The sequence below is a fragment of the Homo sapiens genome, chromosome 10 (assembly GCF_000001405.40).
Source record: "Homo sapiens chromosome 10, GRCh38.p14 Primary Assembly".
NCBI classification, from domain to species: domain Eukaryota; kingdom Metazoa; phylum Chordata; class Mammalia; order Primates; family Hominidae; genus Homo; species Homo sapiens.
Genome location: NC_000010.11, coordinates 118092088 through 118115237, shown reverse-complemented (window position 1 = coordinate 118115237; position 23150 = coordinate 118092088). Strand labels below are relative to the sequence as shown.

Sequence of the window (23150 nt, the reverse complement as noted above, 5' to 3'; positions counted from 1 at the left end):
TAGCAAATTTAACGTGGAACACAAAGTCTCTAAATGACTCTGACAGTCTCTAAATATAGTTATGGTGTCACTGGGCCAACTGGTTGGAACACAATGCTAATAAGGCAAAGATAATAGGAACTGTAGGCTGAACTGTAAAAAGGAAAAACTAATCTTGCTCCATTTCATGGCCACAGACCACATCCTAACTCCACTGAGTTACTTCACAAATATATACTCAGGAGTAAAAGTATTTGAGATAGGCCAAGAAGAAAGATAGGCTAGCAAAGACTCCTTATCAAAAATGGGGGAAAGATTAAAAAATCAAGATAATTTTAGATTATTTATAGGTCAATGATGAATTTTCATAATGGATGATATCACATCACCGTAAGGTAGCAAACGTATAACTATATTTGAACCTTTCTACCCATATAAGAGGACAGAACACCACATCAAGAATACAGTCACCACCTGCTACCACCCAGATTTTGTACTTCACACATCCACCAACTTACAGTTACTCTGGTTCTTTGCACTGTCACTACCCAAAGGATGGAATTCACATAAGGCAGAACTGTCTTTGTTCTCACGTAAGGTAGTTTAGAACTTTCTCCTTCTAAGAGTTTCAACAATGACAGGAACCCATGACCTAATTTTACAGTTAACATTATAGTGAGACTCCATCTATTTCTAGTTCACAGTGCCATTGACATCCTGTTCCATTTTTCTTTGACAGTTCTTTTATTTTCTGTGTAATGACCAATGCCTCTAATTTGCATTTTCCTGTTTTTGAAAATACCCTTTAAAAAACTTGCTTAGTAAAAAGAAACGTTCCAGAAACTAGTTAATGATGGGCAGAAGCATTTCCACGTTTACCTCCTCTGATAAAAAACGATGTTTCTAAACACATTTTTAAGGGCTATCAATTAACAAGCCACACCCAACTTCCATCATGTGGATTTTGTTTGGTTGGGTTGTGTTTTGTGGGCTCCTTTGACCTGAAGATGATTCTGAGCAATATGCATTTCACCTACTCAGTTCTGTGTGATGCCGGATTCTATTAGCAGAAGAAAGAAAAAGTGGAGAGGGATGAAATGGTAATACACTTTGGATACGAGAATTATATGGAATTACAGAACAGCTTTATTCTAGAAGAAAACCACAATGACGGTTCAAAATAACAACATAATGTATGAAACTTTGACAACTAATTTTTAAAATGTTCTATCTCTTCCTGGAGTATAAAATTAGCTACAGACAGTGAGCAGATTAGCCTCTATAGTTTTTAGTACTAAGTTACTTAACTGCTATGTGATATTGTGTCAATAAGGTTTTGTGACCATATAAAATGAATAATGTTTTGCATAAAAGTTTTCTCATTTACTTTTCAGAGTTTCCATCATTGAATTCAGAACAAAAAGTACTTCCTATGATTTGTTTTTGGGTCATTTCTGTGGATATTGGGGGAATCACTAGGCTGGCCATGAACATATGACAATTAAAAACACAATATAGGTACTACACTAAGAAGAATTCAACCTATACGAAAGAAAACAAGCTATTAAAAATCTGGATTCCATGTTAAAAGAATGGCTGAAACTAATGACATTTAATTATTGGTTTAATCTCACCGATTTTGCCATTCTCACGTATACATATCAACATTTGTTTTAGGTGAAAATAAGCAAGATTGCACATGACCATTCAATACTATAGTTAAGATTTGTTCCACGGAAGGATTTTTAAAATAAAATCAGTGAAAAATACTATCAAAAAATGCTTATGCTGAAGATATTCTGTCTTTCTTAAAGCAGGGGAAAGTCCATGATGTAGATTTTTTTTTTTTTTTTGAGACAGAGTCTCTGTCGCCCAGGCTGGAGTGCAATGGTGCGATCTCAGCTCACTGCAAACTCCGCCTCCTCGATTCAAGCGATTCTCCTGTCTCAGCCTCCAGAGTAGCTGAGATTACAGGTGCCCACCACCACACCCAGCAAATTTTTGTATTTTTAGTAGAGACAGGGTTTCACCATGTTGATCAGGCTGGTCTTGAACTCCTGACCTCAGGTGATCCACTGGCCTCGGCTTCCCAAAGTGCTGGGATTACAGGTGTGAGCCACCATGCCTGGCCAATGTAGATGGTTTTTGAATATTCATCTCTGGGTTGTTGTTGAGAGTTTGACATTACAAAGATGAACACCCTGCATGGAAAATGCAGCAACCTCAACGCACACACCTGACCAGGTTGTCAGTCCACCCACGCCAACGAAGGCTGAGATTGCATCAAGGAAGCCAAGTCCTCTACACAGTATGGCTACTGGGAAGTTATGAAACAGTTCATTTGGCAAAGAAGTGGCCCAGGTTATTCCACTTTGCAATCCTGGCCAGCAGTCCCAACCAGAGGAGCAGGCACAGCTGCATGCAGACTGGCAGCACCAGCATTCTTTACGATTTGCCCCCAGTCAAATGAGTGAGCGCCTGTTTGGAAGGCTGATTAATCAGTAATTCAAGGAGATCAAAATCACAAAATTAAAAGACAGAGTTCAATCATATCATGTAATAGAAGGAATGTCCTAATGGCTATGGTGCCCAACACAGGATATAAAGCGAGTGTAAAAGGCAAGATGACCCCTCCTCCACAAACCTGGAGGAAGTGACTTAGTCATTTTATGCCAAAGCCCAGAAGGTTCTCTACTCCAAATCTCCAAACAATAATAGTTTACCAAGTCTTCCCTGGCTGGTGCTGCCGAGTAAGGCTGTCATGCCAGCAAACTGCTAGGATTTACTTTTTTTAAGAATTGCCAGCCAGACATGTCAAAATGCACACAGAGCCTCCTAGCAGGGACACTTCAGATTTCTAATTTGGCAATGATCTCCACTCTTTCCTGACACTGACAGCTGATGCCTGAAAACAGGACTGCTCCGCAAAGGCTGCCCGGTTCAGTGAAAGTGAAGAAGCACACCTTCACACAGTCTCTCCCACAGGGGCGGTCCTCAGTTTGAGGACAGCCAAATTGAATAATCATAAAGACAGGGTACCAACTGGTCTCCATCCCATCTGAGGGCCTTCAGCTGCAGTGTTTCTTTGAAATCCATGTGAGGATCACTGTTTGGCAGAGGCCTCTCTGCTCACACCCTCTGGAAGCTGCGTCCTTTGGCCAGGACTCGGTGAAGCAATTTAGGCAACTGCTTTGTTCCCAAGCAGCTTTCAAAGGATGGGAGTTGGATCCTGAACCTTTTTTGCCATATATTTATGTCTGGCTAGTGAAGATTCTTTCATGACTCTATTGGAACAGACATGATCGCAACAATTCTGAACTTGACTTGATGAATCATGCAGAATATTCAACTTGAGTTTTCTTATATGCTCCCCTGAACAATACTACATCCCTCATAGACTCAAAGACCTCAAAATTTCCCAGTGATGTTACAGGAAGCACTTTTTAAAAATATGTTTTGCTCACAACTATATTCTACTGAGATGCACCACAGGTGTCTTTGCTCTGATGACTTCGTACCTATTTTGAATGAGAAACTAGATAAAGAAAGCCTATGAGGAATTACTAGATAATTCTACGTCCAGAAAAACATATTTGTTTTCTCTACCTTTAAGACGTTATTTTCTCCAATTTTTTTTTCTTTAGCAGGGTTGTATTATCCTTTATAATTTCCAGGGAATGTAGAGAACTCCAAGGACATTCCAAAAATTATTATTATTATTATTATTATTTTTGAGATGGAGTCCTGCTCTATTGCCCAGGTTGGAGTGCAGTGGCACGATCTCGGCTCACTGCAAGCTCGCCTCCTGGGTTCACACCATTCTCCTGCCTCAACCTCCTGAATAGCTGGGACTACAGGCGCCCGCCACCACACCAGGCTAATTTTTATTTTTTGTATTTTTAGTAGAGGGGGTTTCACTGTGTTAGCCAGGATGGTCTCGATCTCCTGACCTTGTGATCCACCCGCCTTTGCCTCTCAAAGTGTTGGGATTACAGGCGTGAGCCACCACGCCTGGCTAAAAATTGTTATTATTACTACATCCAGATGAGGAAACTGAGGACCTTTTTGTTAAAGGAAGCACAGCCTGCCATTAGCAGAGCTGGGGTGAGATCATGTGAAAATCCATCAGTTTATTATTAAAACCCAGTATAATGTGAGTCTGTCCTCATTGTGATGAGACCAGAGCCCAGCATCCTATCAACCTGACCCAAAAGTGAGAATTTGGTTGGTGGGTAAGAATTTTAGGGCAATTATTTCATAGAAAAACCATAGCCATACACTTCTACAGAAATAGCAAACTCTTCTGCCGGAACATCTCCCTATACTAGATGCTTTGATCTGGCATTTCTCATCTTTATCACTTCCTTAACTCAGTTGCTTTCAATTTCTTTTTGAGATAAGTGACTTTGGTAGTTGGACAATGGTAGATGGTAAGAAAATCAGGAATTAACTAAATAAGTCCAGAAACTGCAGTCCTCAAAATCTATACACACATATACATATTAATTAAAAACCAACTCAGTATTTAAAAAAATCTGTGTAGTTTCTTAGTAATTGAAACATAACACAAATGAATACACAGCACTCAGCACAGTGTCTTGCACATATTAGTGCTCAGGAAGTAGTTTTAATGAATCTCATTTTAAAGTATAGGATCTTTGCAAGTCTACATGGTGTGTGCATTTGGGGTATTTGGTAACAGCAACGAAAGAGCACATCTTTCTCTGAACAGAACTGTAGTCGCTCATGCTGATGTTCCTTTGCTTCTATTAGGTTGGTACAAAAGTAATTACAGTTTTTGCCATTACTTTTGCACCAACCTAATAATTTCATACCATGTCTTTTGCTCATCCCTAGCTAACAAGATCTGCTAGATGCTGTTTGTAAATTTTCATGAAATGAATATAATATTTAAGAAAACTGAGCAATAACATTTTAATGTAAATATTATACATATACTATGTAATAATAATATAAAACAGAAAGTCATGTTGCAAAAGAGAAAAGCAATGGAACTTATGTTGACTTTAGAGCTGGGTTAAAAGCCACCCTTAGAACCACAATCTGATGATCCTACATTTCCGAATCACTTTGGGGTTCACAGATGTTTCATGATCGTTGGCCTTTAAGGGCGCTTAGTTGTTTCAGCAATGGGAGCCCTGCTGACCCACAGCAGATCCCCTGGGTAGGAGGGGTAAGATTTTTCTGGTCAGAGGAGTTTTGTTCAAAATGGAAAATCCCCTGAGATACACTGATAGGAAATTTTAATATTTTTTAACGATTAGCTTATACAAGTGCTTAAAGTGAAAGCAGGTAGTCCTCAATGCTCCAATATATTGACTGAATTTCTTAATGGAAAAAAAGGAAGAAAAAAATTCCTAATTGTCTCCTGCTAACTGACAAAGCAGTAGCATATGCTGAATGATCAATTTCTTTGCAGTATTGTTGCTGAGGTAGAATTGCCTCTGTCTTTAAAACAGAATACGCATCAGCGAAATCATAAACAGGTCACTCATAGCAAGTCAAAGAGGATTGACTCTAGGGGAGTCTTTTTAAATGACCTTATTTCAAATACTCAGCTTTTATTGACATCTTAGTGTTCTCTCAGCAGACAGAGTAGCTCCTTGAATTGAAAGCCTGCAACTGTTTTTGTGACGGAACTATTGATTTTTTCCTTCTGATATAACTTCACATGTCAGACTGAGTTTCACACCCCATATCCATCAATACCAAATAATTTTTAGAGACCCCCTATAGGAGTCATCTGTAGGCCACATATGTATATAAATATATGTCACAGGTTTTTTTATTCCTAAGACTACACAATAACAAGGAGCATGTCATAATAAAGTTAATGTATTTATTTGATACAAAGTTTGCCTCTTTTATACCAGGTGACGTTCCTTCCATGCTGAAAATACCAGGAACTGCCAATCCCATGGGAAGAATGGACATGGGGACGTGAATTTCTCATTTGATTTTTTTTAATTGCATGTTCAGAGAATTTATTATTCCATTTTTTAATTAAAGAAGAGCCTTGCTATCAAAATGCTCTCCCACACATCCTTTTGCGTTAGGTAGCACGAACACAGTTTGAGATGGAAACAGGCTGCCCAATGTACTTATTAAGGAACTTTCCTGGCGAACCACTGAAAAATATCCTCAAGTGTGACCATCACATCTGCATCAAGTTATGAAAAAAGTAAGGCTTGTTAACCTGCTGTTTGGAAACCAGAACACTTTTATCAGTTCATATAATTGCTAACCCCTTATTCACTGCTCAACGCTGGAGAGTTCTTTACCTCCTAAGATCCCACTAATTGCTGACAGATTTGATTTCTCCCTGACAGCAGGAGTCCTGTTTCTGGCCTTTACATCAAGTAATTGCTTTATTTTTCTCCCTCTGCTCTAAAAAACGGAATTCCCTTCTCCCCTGCTTGAACCCCTTTAATGGCTTCTTTCTCTGTTATTAAATCCTTGCCATTTAAATCACATTTAGCGATGTTTTGAATAACTGATTCCAATTACTAAGGCTCTTACCAAGAAGCAGCTGAAAACGCAAGTCATTACTTGCCCACAGACAAGCGGCTACATCTTGCAGCCAAGTCTCTGGTGAACTGTATTGTATTTCTCCTCAGTACGGGGCAATTTATACTCACAGAAGGCTGATGTCCAGCAAATATACAGCCGCCGGAGCTGTCTGACACTATCATTTGTGCATAATGGATATTAGATTTTATAGTTATTTTATAAATAGCCTCGTTCCTTAAAGAAACCATTCCCTTCTTCCCGTAGCGGCCGAGAGAGGCCACGTGGAACAACAGCAGAGATGAGTAGTGACCGCCCCATGACCCACCGTTAGGGTGCTCTTCAAAGTCTAATAAAAGCCACGGCTGGGCCCAAACAAACAGAGCGATGGAGCTGCCGCCTCTGCCAGGGACAGCACTCCGCATTGTCAGAATTTGCTTTGACAGTCCAGTTTGTTTTCCCTTGACGTTGTGGAGTTTGGAAAAAAAAAAAAAAATCCCTGCCATCTTGTCTTCCCTCTCTTCCCATGATGTTGAATGTTGCAGTCCTTTTTTTATTTTTTATTTACTTGGCAAAGGGATGTATCTGATAAATTTCATGACGCAACCATATTTCTCCTATCATTTCAGGATTTAAGGCATTGCGTGGATCCTATTTCTCAATCCTATTGGCTGTAAGATGACCAAAAACTGTACATTTTGGTAAATTTCATCTGACACAGTGGTTTGGCCTCACTAAAATGATGCATTTTCTGCCCCATTTGCATTGATGAAATATGATTTTCTTGGGCATATTTAATGCAGAAGAGCCTCTGTTACCCAGGGTATGTTAGTAGGTATGGCATAATTTATACCTCTTCAGAATTTTTATTTTAAACATTGAATAACCAATTAATTGTATAAACACATGTATAATGTGTTGGGTTTCAGTGGTACATCAGGTAATCATGACACAGCCTGGCTATCATGGTTACCAGGCAGATCTAACTTAATGAACTGGCAAATGTGAAGGCAGAGCTCACCCTCCTAATTTGATTAACCAACCGTATGTCTCAGCTATGACTGGGGCTAAGGAAGGTTATCACTAATTTCCAACTTGAGGTTATCAGCAAAATTGAAATGTTTCTCAATTCTATGTATGACACACAAATGTGAAAAGAGTTTTGTGTGTGGGGCCGTATTCAGGAAGTTTAATGCATGACACCACTATCAAAATAAATTGTTCATGTGACAATTATCTCATATATTGTGCTACATTGTTCTCTACTTTTGTGGGGGTTCAACTGGGGTATAAGTAAATTCTGTACAAAATAGAGTGATGACTTTTCTTCCTAAATCCATGGAGATTTTGGTTTTCATCTTTTCATTAAAGTAGGCAGTTTAAGAAAGACTTTTGAAACTTATTATTCTATTATTTGATCATCTTCAAAACAGTGACAAAAACCACAAATGTCTAGAAGGATGTACATGAGGTGTCAGAATGACTCACGCTGCTTGCCATGTGCCCATGGAGATTCAGGAGAGGCACAGGCACAAAGAAAGAGAGAGAAGCAGCAAATTCACCTGGGATTTTGCATTTTCCATTTCTAAACATTGCCTCTTCAATTATTTATGTTTGATATTTGTGAAAAGTGCTACCTTGGATGGCCCAGAAACCTGAGTCTTATGTTTGTCTGTGGAGAAGGATGCCAGAGCAGTGGCACTGCCCATTCTGGAGTCTGGATTATTAATGTGTTTCTAACCTAAAGGCCAGTACCTCATTCCTTCACTACCAGGGTGGTGCTTTTTCATCCACAGAGACAAGAAACTTGTTATGATTCTGAGACTGAGTACATATAGCAGAGATGGCCCAGCCTTTCTCAGCATCTATTATAAATAGGTAGCCCTCCATTTCTACCCAACACCGTGCCTATCTTACCCCTCCTAGGCTCTTTGTTGAGAAGTCCATTTGCCAAGGGACTAACAAAACCTCAGAGCTTCTCTTAGGAAGGGTCCCAAAGGAGCACCCCAGGGCAAACAGTGTACTGGAAGGGTCGCCAAGACCAAGCAGCTTTCGGGCTTTAAATGCAAACTCATTTTATCAGACAGCTAGGGGGCAGGGGAGAGTCTTATTAGAGCTGTTTCAGTAGCGAGGAAAACAAGATAAATCAGCCAGGCCTTTACAGTGACAAAACTGTAATGTAGATGAATGGTCACTACAGTGCTTCAGGGCTCAGAATTTGGAGCCAGAAGGCATATATTTGAAATCTGCTATTTATCAGCTATGTAAACTTGGGCAGGTTACTTAATATCTCTCCCTCTATGTCCTAATCTCTAATAGGGATAACTATAATAGCATCTACTTCATAAGATGGAGGATTACATGAATTAAGCTTGGAGAACACTTAGAACATGCTCCTGACATGCTATAAAATCACCAAAAGTACAGCTTTCATGAGTCCACAACAGCACTGCCTCTCCCTGACCATTTCCCCTCCCTGAGTGATATTCCCTTCTCCTTATCTGCTAGTACCACTCAGAGTCCTCCTGTGTTTGCTTTCTTTTTCCTTTCCCATCAAAACTCATGCTCCAAAGCTTTATTTAGTTTAAGGGAGAAAATGTTAGTATCTTGGGTCATTCTTACCAAAGATATTTGTGCATTAATAGGGATATAAAACTAGGACAAATGAAATATAAATGGTGGCCTCTTAGATGGCAGCCAAGAGGTTTGTGGATATAGAGAGATAGAATGGGGTCTTCCCAGAGTTCTGAATTTATGCTATTCAGGGGGCTGCCTCCTCCATGTGTTGAAGGTTACCCTGACTGTAGTACACTCCTTGTGAACAGAGAAAGATGTTTATCTACTACTTTATTTTACAGAACAACCCCAACAGTCCACAGTGCTATTTGATCTGCCTGTCCTGCACTTAGAAAACCCTTTGAGAATGAGATTAAATGGGTGAACTGCTTTCTGGGCATGGAATCAGACTATCTCTCCATTGGTTGAAAAGATGTGACAGCATTCAGATCCCACTCAATGGAACTCTTGACAAGGGTAAAGGACAATTTGCAAAACGCTTTCACTTGCATTTCATTACTACAATTTTACAAATGTTTCAGCTTTCCATGTGACAAAGTTTCATTTTGATCCTGAATATCTCCACAGAGTAGTATAAACAAGGATGGAGGAACTTGTACCTCTTTTCAAAAGACAAGAGGATTTTGATGTAAGTGACATTTTGATGTGTTTAGTCTAGGAGAGGTGCTATGGCCATGAAAGAGCCAGTAACCCACTGTTGTTCCTGAGGACAAGTGAGCCATCCTTCAGATCTTGGGGAAAGTGACCTGGACTAAGATTCAGGAGCCTTGGCTTCACAGTGATGAACTGGGTGGCCTTTGCAAGTCCTTTCCTTCTGCTCTGAGTCTCCTTAGTCATAAAGAGTTGAACTAAGTGATCTTCACAAGTCCCTTCCATCTTCAACATTTAATGTTTTGAAATTAGTCAGTCTTCCGTTTCCGGGGATCTAGTTTTGGGTTGCTTAGCCTATTTATTTATGTCTAGGTATTCAGCTAGACAGAGAAACACACTATTATTTAACACATAATATACAGATATTAAAGATACAAAGTATAATATTATTAAAGAGTATGTTAAATACTCCAAATAATTCTATCAGGCTGTGTGTGTGTATACAGTGTACATATTCAGCCACAGTTATTCACTCTAAACTAGCTCTACTAAGACCATCCTTGTTTCTCTAGAGCTAGCCTTAGTAAAATACTTAAAGAGTATACGAGGGGAATTCCGAGCTTATCAGAGCAAAGTGCCTCAGAGGTACAATGTTTCCCTAAACATTTGTAGCAGTTTACAAGGAGACAAAACTGATGAGACTACTACATCTTTACCTTGGAGTTCTCCAAGGAGGCAATTCTTTGTAGCCTTCGTCTTTCAAACAAGCTTTAGATCTTATCAGGAAGATACTTCTTTTTCTTCAACAGTAATATTTTTTTGACTTGAATTTAAAGATAAACCAGATGTATAATATAGCATTCATTATTATTATAATATTGCCTATTATATTTAATATAAATAATAACAATATAGCATTAGTATGGACCAAAATAGTTGGGCTCTTGAGTGTTTGAAAGTTCTTTATAATCTGGTAAAACTATCATGAAATTCACTTAGAGCATTTTATTTAACAGACCACATCTGTGCCCTTAATGAATAGTAATTAAAACTCACAGCAGCATTCCCATTCGGTGATGAAGAGTTATTATACACACTCTCTAAAACAGGTAGGCTTTAGACCATGTAGTCTGCCCTTCTATGTGGATGTCAAACGCAGGAGGAAATGAAGACTTAATTTGAATTTTTCCATTTTTAGAGGACTAGGTACTTTTTTCCAAGTAAGTGTTAAGTCTGAGGATCAAAATTCTGATTTGATCATTTTCAGTATAGCATGGAGTGGTGGATAAGTACCAGTGGTAGATTCTAGTCCTGGTTCTTTAACTAAATGGTTGTACGATTGGCCTCTGGTAGGACATCTGCCCTCTTAACCTCGGTTCCTCATCTGCAGGACAGGATGGATTAAATCCTGACCAAGATCATGTTTGGCTCTAATAAGCAGTGAATTTCTCCCACCTCAATACTCCTGGCCTCAGCCCCAGGGGCCAGTGGCATTTGCTTGTAGGTTCTGAGCCTCTCATCCTCGCGTATCTTGCCTGGCCTGTGGCTCCTGACTCTTCAACGGACAATGGATCTTCAACTGCCTCTGTCATCAGTGTGTTCTGGGCCCAATCTGCTGTCAATCAGCAGCTCTGACCTACAACTTGCAATGAATTTCTTGGCTATGGTGAGACTTCATGGGTCTGAACACTTTTCATCTTCCTGGTCCTTTCTTTAGTTCCCTTGGTCCCTGGTCCTGCCCCTGCAGGATGTTGCTATTCCCCAAGATGACCATGATTCTCTCTGCAAGGTGCATCTTGTTCAGCTTCCTCCAGACATTGACTTTGAAACAAGGACTCTAATGCAAGTAGTTTATTTGGGAGGTGAAGGAAACAGGAAAAGGGAAGTAGAAAAAACAGACAGGGAGGTAATTTAACCAAAACATGGAGCATTATCAAGCAGGCTACCATGACCATGGTGAATACCTGGACCTTAATGCCAAAGGGAACTCTGGAAGCCAATGGAGAGCATGTGCTCAGCATTACGGCCCTGACGGGTGAGGGAGCTGGGGTATTTATGCACCAACTCACATCATCATCCAGTGAAAGAGAGGGTTTTTAATTCTCAGGCACTTCCTACCCACCCATGCTTAGACAGAGTGGATTCTGCCCACCAGAGAAGACCCTCAGGTAGAGAGGTGCCAGGGTTGGTGACAAAGAGCATGAAGGCCAGCGGTGAGATAGAAGGGATATGTGCAGGCTCCCCCAGCACACCTGGGGTCAGATAGAGCACCTGGGAGGCCATCACTTTAAGGATTCTAACCATCATGTAAAAGAACTCAGTGATGAAAGCCATCTGTCAGACTCTTCTGCACCAGCCCATGTACCAGCTTGGCCACCCTTCCTTTCCTCCCAGTGTCTCTCATTCCTTTAGCTATCTTTCCTTCTTGTGACCTTGCTCTTCCAGCTCCCAAATTATCACCTCTTTTCTCAGCGGATGACCAGCCTTTGTCCCAGAGCTGAGTTTTCTGCTCCAAATATCTGGTATTTCACTGCCATTTCTGTTTTGGTTCTCTCTGAACTGTCCTATGAAAAATCCAGTGACGAGTCAGGAATGGGAACATTCCAATATTTCTCTGACTTTTCCTAGTTTGGCCTCAGATAGGAGTAAGGTCAAAGGGGTCTGATCATGTAATACCTCTTATTTATAGGGCACTTTACAGTTTATAAAGGAATCTCATGGAACCTTATTAAAAGGGCATGGAGGTTAGAATCAAAGGCATTGCACTTGCATCTTGGTTCTTTCAGGTACTAACTCTGCCCAGTGATGTTAGACAAGTCATTTCTCCATGTTGAGTTGCTTTCCTTGTCTATAAAATTGTAATAATCATGGTGATACCTGTTGTTCTCACTTCCCAGAGGTTGTTGCCAGGTACAGCATGGCCACGGGCCCCGGAGAACCATCCAGAACTCACTCTATACCTCAGTTTTCTGATTTTTCGCAATTTTAGTGTTCACAGCAGCCTTGGGAGAAGGTAAGTGAGATTGTTTTCATTGTTTTAAGGAAGCAGAGAAGCTCTTCTGAGTCAACTGCCAGAATCTGTAGTTCTCAAATGCATGCAAAGAATTATTGTAGCTTCACATCAAATCATATTTAAAAGACATTTGTAATGTTACATTCTTGAAGAGAAAAGCAAATGCATGACATTCTTTGAATAAGTACAGTCACAAATCTGAGATCTTGGAACAACTGAGAGAGTATGATACTTGAGTCGTTTAGAAAAAGTTTTACTCTCCCTCTTAAAATTAGCCACATAGTTAACAGTATCAGTCATTTGAGATTCTAAAAAGTATTAATAGGGCTGGCTGAGAAAGCAAGAACTATGTACTTATCTGTTATTGCCCTTTTTAAAAAAAAAATCTCTCCAGTGATTTTTAATTTCCTAGATAGGGGGCAGTCAGCCTTTTGAAGAAACTCATTTATTTCAGCATCACTCTGAGTTCCTAATGTAAACGTCTTTGGGGGCTGATTTGGAGGAAGCAGGACAAGATATACGAGACATTTCCACTATTGCCTGGAGGCAATTTGCATCTCTTAAAGATGAAGAGGCAGAGGTTAAACATAAGCTGAAACTCATCATGACTTATATACCATGAGATTTTTTTTATATATCATTTCACACAAATCCATTTTTAAAAGTTGAATATGTGATTTTTAAAGTCAAATATCTGCAAAGGAAATTGGACTGACCCGAAACCGCCTTCAGTGTTTAATGGTAAAGGATGTTGTGAAATCTGAAGCAATTTTGTTTTCCATGCACACACTCTTTTTTAGGAAGAAAATCTTTCTTTGCTCCACATTCCTCTTTGTGCCCACAGAAATGCTTGATTTGGTTTGGTATGAGTCAAACAAACTATTCTCATCACAAGTGGAGCAAAGAAAAAAAAAGAGCTTTTCATTCAAGTTATGGGTTCTGGAAAAAATTGTGTAAAAGCAGGCTATGTAACCGTAGTTGTTGGCCACTCTTCTGTGAGCTATCTGTAGAATAGTTATTTTTTCCTGCACCCAACAGAAAATAAAGGGGCACAAAAAATTCAGCCTATTACAGTTTAGGGAATATAGAAAAGTGCTTATAGAACTCCTTTTTTTTTCCCTATCCTATGAATGTTCATGCATGTCTACGGAGAATTCTTTCTCTTCTCTTTCCATGCTTCCCCCAAGATTGTGCTCTGTCAGCCTAGTAGGTTTAATAGGTGAACTACAAGACAGGAACAAGACAGCATTAGATATGGTTATATCTAACACTGAATTTCATGTGATGGCATGCACTACCTATTAAATCACATCTATCACTTGTGCTGTGATTTGGTTAGCACATTGTATAGGAATAATTATGATTCTTAGATCATAGTATTTAAAGGTGGATGTTTAGTAAGAAGGAAGTTAAGATGAGCCAAAGATAGGAATGGCATGATTAGCTATTCCCTGTACTGCAGAAAGCTTCTTAGCAAATGAAAATAAAAATACCATCAATGATCACAGGGAAATCAAACTAAAACCTCCACAAATCCTCCTAGAGGTTGTTAAATCCAATCATCCAGGATAACAATTTGGAGAGAATGGAATAACTTCTCCATGCACTAGGACACAATTTTGGTCAACTCTGAAGCTCTTTAAAATATCGAGTGTAAAGGCAAAGCTGGGATATGAAAATGAGAGCTGAAATAGGCCTGAAAAATCAAAGGAGATTGGAACACTAGGGAAGAATCTCATGGTTTCATTGATGGTGGAGTCAGCAGGCCAAGGGAGCTTCGTGAGTTCCAGAAAATGACTTGGGAAAATCTCTTAGGGTCCTAAATCCAGGAAGAAATGGAAAATGCCATTCTGTCTGCCCACCTGCCTCCAAGCAAGACCACACTAAAACTTTTTTAAAATCCCGTGGAGTATCCACATTGCAATTTAGTAGCATTGTTGTGTAAGAAACCTTGAGAAAAATTTTCCCTTCCAATAAACCAACATTGATCTAAAAAGAATTAGTTAACAGCTCTAAAATCATCACTGATTCTCAGATGGGAGTTGAACAATGAAAACACATGGACACAGGGAGGGGAACATCACACACTAGGGTTTGTCGGGGGTGGGGAGTAGGTGAGGGATAGCATTAGGAGAAAAACCTAATGTAGATGATGGGTGCAGCAAACCACCATGGCACATGTATACCTATGTAACAAACCTGCACATTCTGCACATGTATCCCAGAACTTAAAGTATAATAAAATAAATAAATAAATAATAAAACATTGTACAGAAGAGCCGGGCACCATCATCTGCAATGCCTTTGGAAATGAGTTGTGGATGTTTTGTCATACTGGTTTGAGATCTTGTTGGTAGAAAACACTAACCAACAAGTAAATGTCAAAAGATGAAAAAAGTTTTCCACTATGTTCTGTTTTCATTAAAAAAAATACATTTAATAAGTTGCTAAAGGAGAACAGGATGGCCATGTTAGAACACTGCCAAACTTATAAACTTCAACAGTCCCACATACTGAGATGAACAGAAAAATGCATTTCACAAGAAATAAAATACATTTTTCATCTTCTGGATTTGTTGAAGAAGAAGAAGAAAAAAAACCCACATCTGTCCCAAATTTCTTTGAAGAAACTGAATGCCATTCAGTTTTCCTAAGCCAACAGGCTTACCCTTTCTACTGGGTTACCGTAGATGGCTTTGTAAAAATAACTTTAATGCTATAATCCAACAAAATCAAGGAGACAAATTGAAAAATCTTCGTCTCTACTAACATCTTGGGAATGGAAATAACATTTTTCTTAGACGTAGGAAGAACATCAATATAAGTAATTAAATATTTATAGGGTTGTTCACCAAAGGGTTGCATACCATAAATACAGCATTTTATGCCTTTATAGTATCATTTTAAAAATGGGGATAATCACAGCCATTTCATAGTTCTTATGAAGATCATGTAAATTAGTGTGTATAGCTATACAAATATAAGGTGCATTTATTGTTATTCAATTTTATATTAGATTATGGCAGCATAAAGAAATGAGTAACAGCATGGACTCCCGAACAATAGGTTCAAATCTTTGCTGTTTCAAATCTTTGCTGTTTCTCACTGTTCAAATCTTTGCTGTTTCTCACTGTTTAACCTTGGGGAGGTTTCTTAACCTGCTTGTGCCTCTGTTTGCTCATTTGTAAAATCGGGATAATAAGAAAATCTATCTCATCTGGTTGTTATAAGAATTAACTGAGTTAATATGGGTAAGCACTTAGTGCCTGGCATGTAGTAAGCATGTTATAAATTATTTCTCGTTCTACTATTGTTGCTTCTGCTTCTGCTGCTGTTGTTATTGTTGGTGTTGTTTGTGTCATTGTTCCATTCTAACTGTCTCCCTGGGGACAGGCTGCAGCAACCTAAGTGGCCAAGGTTATCGACGAGGGTGTCTGAAAGTAAATCCCAGGGCTCACATTCTCCGGATTTCTAAGTTGGAGATTAAATGAATGGGACTGCGTTTATCAAGTCCAAAGGGGAGAGGAAAAGAAGGACTATGATTTGAGTCCAGGAAGCTCAGGGAAGCCCATGGGAAGGCCCAGTCTGGAAGTGATTCCTTACCATGCGGACCAGCAGTGCTTGTGCTTTGTACCTGGTTCCTAAGGCTGCTGTCCAGGGGGTGCCCTGAGGACCTAAGGGCAAGACACTGGGAACAGATAAAGGCCATCACTTGACCTCCTTCTGAAGGATTTGCTGCTACAAAATAGCAAATATTGAAAATGTTTTAAAGTGGCTCCCTAAAATGGCAAGGAAGTCAGAATTTAGTGTTCAGATAAATAATGCTTTTTGTGGGTGTAGATATAGCAGTCTTTCCAGATAAGATACACCTTCTGGTCTACCAAGAGACTATGTCGGTGAAGCTAAGAGTGCTGATTCAGTAGAGAGTCTCCAAACCATATTCATGAAGGACTGGATCTGTGTCTGCTTAGCTAATTCAGTAAATGCCGTAGAAAAATCTAAGTAAAATCATTGAAGACATCAGTAAAACAAAGGGGCAGTTGGCTTTATGTAGACAAGAGGTCTGAAGTGTTGATTTTCAACCACTAGCTGTTTTCTGCATGGATAAAAGAGAATATACTTTTCTTGTGCCTGAATATAGGCCTTTTCTTCTTTTAGGAGAAGATCACTTGAAACTTAGTGGTACTGCTTATTTTTACTTTTAGTTTACTTTTCTTCTGAGAAAAAGAGTTACGGAGAAATTTCCCTTGGATAGTGTCTCTCAAACTTTAGCCAGCTTTAGAAATGTCCAGTGTACTTGTTTAAAAATGCCGATTTCTGGGCCTCACACTATGAATGAATCAACATCTTTGACCTGTGGGGGAAAAGCAAAAAGGTACATAAAAACATTAGGATGAGAAATGTCTTTCAGAAAAATTAATGATATGTGGACTACACCTCTTCATTTACAAAGTTAGAAAAGGAGTCGTGGTGAAATATGTGTCAGATTTTTTGATATAACTATCTCCAAATCTAGTTCCAAAATTTCACTCCATATGTCTTTTTTGTTTATTACATTTTATTATGTTTTTGATTATATGTTTTGTTTTTCGTATAATATAGACTTAATTTGTTTCTAAAGAAGGGCATAGTTTTATGGTAGGCAGTTTGTTTGGAATTAATCCACATATAAATAAAGGAATAAATGACTAGGAAAAAATTACAAGAAGTATGAGTGGAAAAACATTAACTGGAGACACGACGTTCCCTCCTTTTTTAATATGTATGTTTTACATAACAGGAAATCCCCCGGTTTATTTTTAAAAGTATGTAACATACATGCTTAAAGAAATAACCATAATCTGCTCTTTCATGAGAATACAGATAAGACCTACTGAAATTCCTAAATACTACATTTTCTGGAAAGCTTCCAGCAATCACAAAGATGGCCTAGTATGAACAAAACTAACATCATCAGAGAAGAGCTACCATGATCTTTAAATTCATAATCCCCATGTATTCTATGACGTGAGGTGAATCTTCTGAAGAGTAGGATATTCCCTGAATTAAAATGGCCCTTCTCTTCTACTTTCTTTTTTTTTGTCTTTTTTTTCCTTTATTATTATTATTATACTTTAAGTTTTAGGGTACATGTGCACTTCTACTTTCAATAAATAAATCCAACCTGATGTTTGCACAAGGATGATAGTTTCTGTGCACCCAGGCACTCTTCTTTATATTTTTGGCACCTGTTCTCTCTCCCTCTAGTTTATATCCGAGTTTTAAGGACGGTCTCCCTCCCTTTCCTTCCCTATTATTCCCCAGCCATTAAACACTTATCAGCTCTCTGTCTGACTGAGGAAATCTGAGCATGGTTACATTCAGAATTACTTACGTTTTTGTTTATATGATCAAAATGGATGTAAATGTGCTCTATTCTGCAAAGAAAATTGAATACTTGGATGATATGGTTAACTAGAAATGATACTAATATGTCGTTTTGTTTGAAAACAGAGCCAGGTTAACTGTTATTGTATAAAAAAGTCATTATTCTTCTTACAAAAAAATCCATAAGAGAAGTCTTTCCAGATATCATATATATTACATTCTAAACAAGGCATATTAGTAGCACTATTACCCAAGAAACAATGAGAGCCACAATCTGATTGATGCAGAGGACATTTACTTAGATACATCTAAAAGCAGAGATGGACAGAGAGGAGCAATTATTGGAATGAATATCTGTGTCTTTATTGATCCAATACATTCATAAGAAGGCTAATCAATGAATTAGTAAACCTCATGTCATCTGAGGTCATGATTTCTATTTACACTGTTCATAGATTTCAGACTATATAGCAAGGAAAAAAACTTTCAGGAGGTCTAGGTTCTAATTCTGACTTTATGAACAATTAGTTCTATAGTATTGGGCAACTAATTAAGTTCTGTTGGATTCAGTTTCCCCTTTGCAAAATAAATGGATTGTACTAAAGAACCCTAAAATCACCTCTGGTATTAGTACTTTAAAATAAGCATGAGTGTTTCTGTGCGTGTGTGTGTGTGTGTGCATAAAACTAAGACATCCTCATTTCTTTCTATACAAAAATTCCATATAAATGCCTTTTCTCCATGCCTAACAATAAAACTAACAATAAGTAGCTGAGTAACCAATGACATTTTCAACTTGTCCATTTGAATTATAAACAAAACACTATGCAGATCTCATTGTTTCAGAGAAGCCTTCAGTTTGTAGGGTATAGGAATGGAACAGCAGAAAAAGTGAGGTATCCATCTCTCAGTCAAACCAAAGCTATCAACAAAATTAGGTTGACATAAATGATAAAGATCTTGGAGCTGCCTGTTAAAAAAGCTCTGGCTGGAAGAAGTGGGAGCTGTGTGCTTTCCCCGGAAGGTCCTTTGCAACAAAAATGGACTGTTTACCTTGAAAAATTACTTGTATACTTCCAAAGTCATTTATATAACCAAGTGAAAATATAAAGAAATGCTCTAGCTACAGAAAGAAACTAAATGAATAATGGAGGCAATTTTCCAGATATGGGGTCAGGGGAACAGAAATGCTGGATGTTTGACTCACTGAGATTGGCATTCAAACTGAGTGATCCATATACTCAATTCCTTATTGCAAAAAGAAGATCCTTGTGTTCTTTAGTGCCTTAGAGAAAGTAAAGAGAACCATGCCAGCCAAGAAGCACTTTAAAGTGCAATAAATGTTCCTTTTGAACTAAATGTACGTAAGAACTTGTGTGGTGGACACAGATATGCTACTGCTATAATAATTTCTGTTAAATGCCCTAAAAATGATGCAATATCCTTCTTACTATTGCAGAAATGCTAAAAGTTTATCCATCATCCTTGTTATTTTCTTTTTTCTATAACCTCTAACTCAACTAGGCTGCTGAAGGCCTCAGGAGCTTCCACTCCAATGTGTCCATTGGAAGGTACCAGATTAGCCCTAGGATTAATGAACTCTAGTCAACACCCATATGTACTTCCCTCCTTGAGAGGTGTGGTCAATATCCTCAGGCACCTTCAAGAATTAATTGATCTATTACTAGTTAGATAGGGAAGCATCATGTAAAGGGAGGGATGAGGGAAGAGGGAGGGCAGTTTGGAAGCACTGCCTTCATCAGAGGCATCGCCATGCAAGTAGGCAGTCATGTCCTCCTCCAAGACGACCAATAAGTTCTCAAACTCAAGAAGCGCCACCCAGCCTAGCAGTGCATAGAGTCTTGCTTGTATCCAGTGAGGGAGCTGGAGGCAATGTGTTCCATTTATTACATAAATGTAGCTCTGCGGGGCACGTAAGCTGACTTTGTACGTCTGAACCACACTGAAGCTGAGATAGTCCCTGAGCAAAAATAAACACAACTAGGGGCTTCTGGAAAATAGCTTAGAAGTTAGAGAAGCTTGGATTTTCTCTTTTATTTTAAAAACAACTGCCTTTAAAAAAAATTTATATTATCCTTATTAAAGTCCAATAATTAGTATCCTAAGAAACTGTTAGCACAGGCAATATGAAGAGAGGAAAAGTTTGGTTGTTTAGGGAAATATTAGTTAATCTGGGTGCTATAGGTAAAAGATACACTAAGTAGTAGGCTACTTTGTCCGATTTATTCATTCTATATTATCTTTTCAGTCAGAAAGTGGAAAGAGTTGTTTTAGAAGCCTTGCCATCTTTGTTTTTGGTCATTGGACAACAGTCTTGGTATGTGCCAGATACAATTTCTCCAGGTTTTATTCTACTCGCTTTTGTTTGAAAACATTCAGACAGTGAACTGTTATACAATGAAGTGTATCAAAAGTTCTGAATAAAAAGTAGTTCTGTAAGCAAATTATTCAACATGGGACAACTAATCCTTGCCCTTGACACATAACCTGAAAATGCTTGTCTTCCGCCCTTTGCTTAAGCTGTTTCTTCCACCCAGACTGCCCTTTTGATGATATTCATGGCTGCATAAACAAATCACATTATTAATTCTATCATTTATTCATTCAACAAATATTTATTGAAAGTATACTATGTGCAAGGTACAGTTCTAGATGGTGGGCAATGAACAAGACATAAAAATCCCTACCCTCATGGAGCTTCTATTCTATTGGAAAGAGATGAATAATATCAACTTTAAATGGCAGTAGCTAGATAAGCCTAGGTGAGAGGAAGTCTGTGTTATTCTTCCCCTGTTGAAGATCCATCTCTGCCATCACGTCCTCTCCCCTTCCTCTCCTGACCTCCCATTTTCATTGACCCATTGCACCAGCACTAGGTAGCTAAGGAAGGGGGTGGCCTGGAAACCCCAGGACAGGAAGCAAGAGAAGGAAGACATGGTTAGCTTGTGCATGGACAAAGCTAGCTGAACCCTATATGTAACAGTTCCCCCAGAGCAGTGGCTGGAGTAAGAAGTGGGGCCCAGATTATTTGAAGTAATGTACAAAATATATCTGATAAAGCTACAGAAGACAGTGTTTTAAGGAACAGGAACAATCAATTGCATCCAATGCTGCTAATAAGACGAGGACCATCAGCAACATTGGAGGTCATGGCGACCTCGACAAGAATAGTTCTGTAGTGATGGGAGCCGAAGGCTGATTCATCCACCTAGTCTCACTCCTTCTCCAAATGACTATGAAAATATAAAACACAAGATAGTAACCCCATCAGCTTCTGCCACATAACCTTCAAATCTATCTTGGCAATCATCCTTTGTTTTTCCTTTTAGTTTCAAGGGATGTGGCAGTTTCCTTCATACGGATCTAAGGGCTATCCTGCTCTCTCCCAGCTTCTCAGAATCTTCAGCCTCTTCAGTATTCACTTTTCCACCTAGGTATTCAATACGTCCTTCTCTTTTGAGTTTTTCCCATCCCAAAGCCACCAGAGAGCCTGACACAGACTGCCTTCCCAATTTATGAAACAAAGATGTGGAATCCACGAGCACAGGAAGCATTTCAACATGCTCAGGTCTTCCCCAGCTCCACGTTCCCTTCCAGCTAACACTTTATTTCCCATCCCCTTCTTACCTTGAAAGAACTTCCAACTTCACTGTTTCTATATTCTTACCTCTTCCTGTCACCTCCTTGCTGTCTGTCCTCTACCTCCACCATCACACTGAAACTGCTCTTGCCAAACTCATCAATGATGTTGTTGCTGCTCCACCCAAAGAATCTTTCCTTCCTTCTCTTTCTAGATCTCTTTGTGGCACAAGACTCCTTTGACCATTTCCTTCTTCCTGACACACTTTTTCCATTTGCTTCTTTGACATTGAGTTCTCCTGGCTTCTGTCCTTCTTCTCTGCCCTCCTTTTCTCACTTCTTTGAAGCCTCTTCTTCCTCTGCTCATGCATCAAGGGCTGGTGTTTCTATCCCTGGCCTTCTTTACTCCTGACTCTGTGGCTTTCCTCTGGTGCACTCATTCCCTCTCCTGGCTTTCATTACCTGTCCACATGCTGATGATGCCCAAAACCATATTGCCAGCCCAGCCCTCTCCAAGGCCTAGTGGATATTTGCACTTACAGGTCTGGAACACTCCCTTTTTTGAGACAGGGTCTCACTCTGTTGCCCAGGCTTCTGGAGTGCAGTGGTGCAATCATGGCTCACTGCAGCCTGGACCTCCCAAGCTCTGGTGATCCTCTCACCTCAGCTTCCCAAGTAACTAGGACTACAATCGTGTGCCATGACACCCAGCTAATTTTTAAATTTTTTGTAAAGATGGGATTTTGCCATGTTGCCAACGCTAGGCTCAAGTGATCTGTCTGCTTTGGCCTCCCAAAGTGCTGGGATTACAGGCAAGAGCCACCACACCTAGCCTGGACCACTCCTTGAATTCAGCTTGACCCAAATTGAACTTGAAACTTTGCCCACCTCCTCTCGGCAGACCTACTTGTCCTGCTGAGCTCCTAAGTAATAAGGCAATCCATAAACAAATCTTGTCAACTATAACCTCTCAATTGCTCTAGGACCTATTCAGTCCTTCCTAAGTATACAAGCAGATTATATTCTGTGGTCCTGTGCCAGTACATTTACAGTAGTTGTTGGAGCTAGCATCCATTTTGATTGGCCAGTGACCCTAGAGCACTGATTACTCAGTATTATTAATATCACCCCTGTTTACCACCTCTTTCTCAGTAAAGGCTGCCACCAGGTATTGCTTGGAATGGAGCAACACACCCTATGCTACTTACCTTTAGTCACTAATCCATTCACTACTCATCAGCCAGAGTCATGTTTCTGAAATGCGAATTTGTTTATATCTTTGTCCTACATAAAACCTATTGGTGGCTCCTTATATTCTAGATATCTAAAAAACTCTCTTCCTATTTTTTTTTTTTTTTTGGACTGGCTGCTGGCTAAATGGGGACTCAGCCTTCAGGTCTCAATTCAGATGTCAGTTCTCCTGAAATGTTTTCTTGTTCCCTCCCCACCCAAATCTTGGCTGCTCCTGTTTTCTCTCATAGCATGCTGTACTCCT

General features: G+C 39.3%; 1 long non-coding RNA gene across 3 annotated transcripts in view; it reads right to left on the bottom strand.

The window, feature by feature from the left end:
* CASC2 (cancer susceptibility 2) overlaps positions 1 to 23150 on the bottom strand; it is a 163333-nt gene that overhangs the window by 94916 nt on the left and 45267 nt on the right. The window contains exon 4 of one of the 3 annotated variants that reach the window (NR_026941.1): positions 15102 to 17042. The exons of the other annotated variants lie outside the window; for them this stretch is intronic. This is a non-coding gene — a long non-coding RNA (cancer susceptibility 2). Of the gene's footprint in view, positions 1 to 15101; positions 17043 to 23150 lie in introns of those variants that run through there. 3 annotated transcript variants of the gene reach the window in all.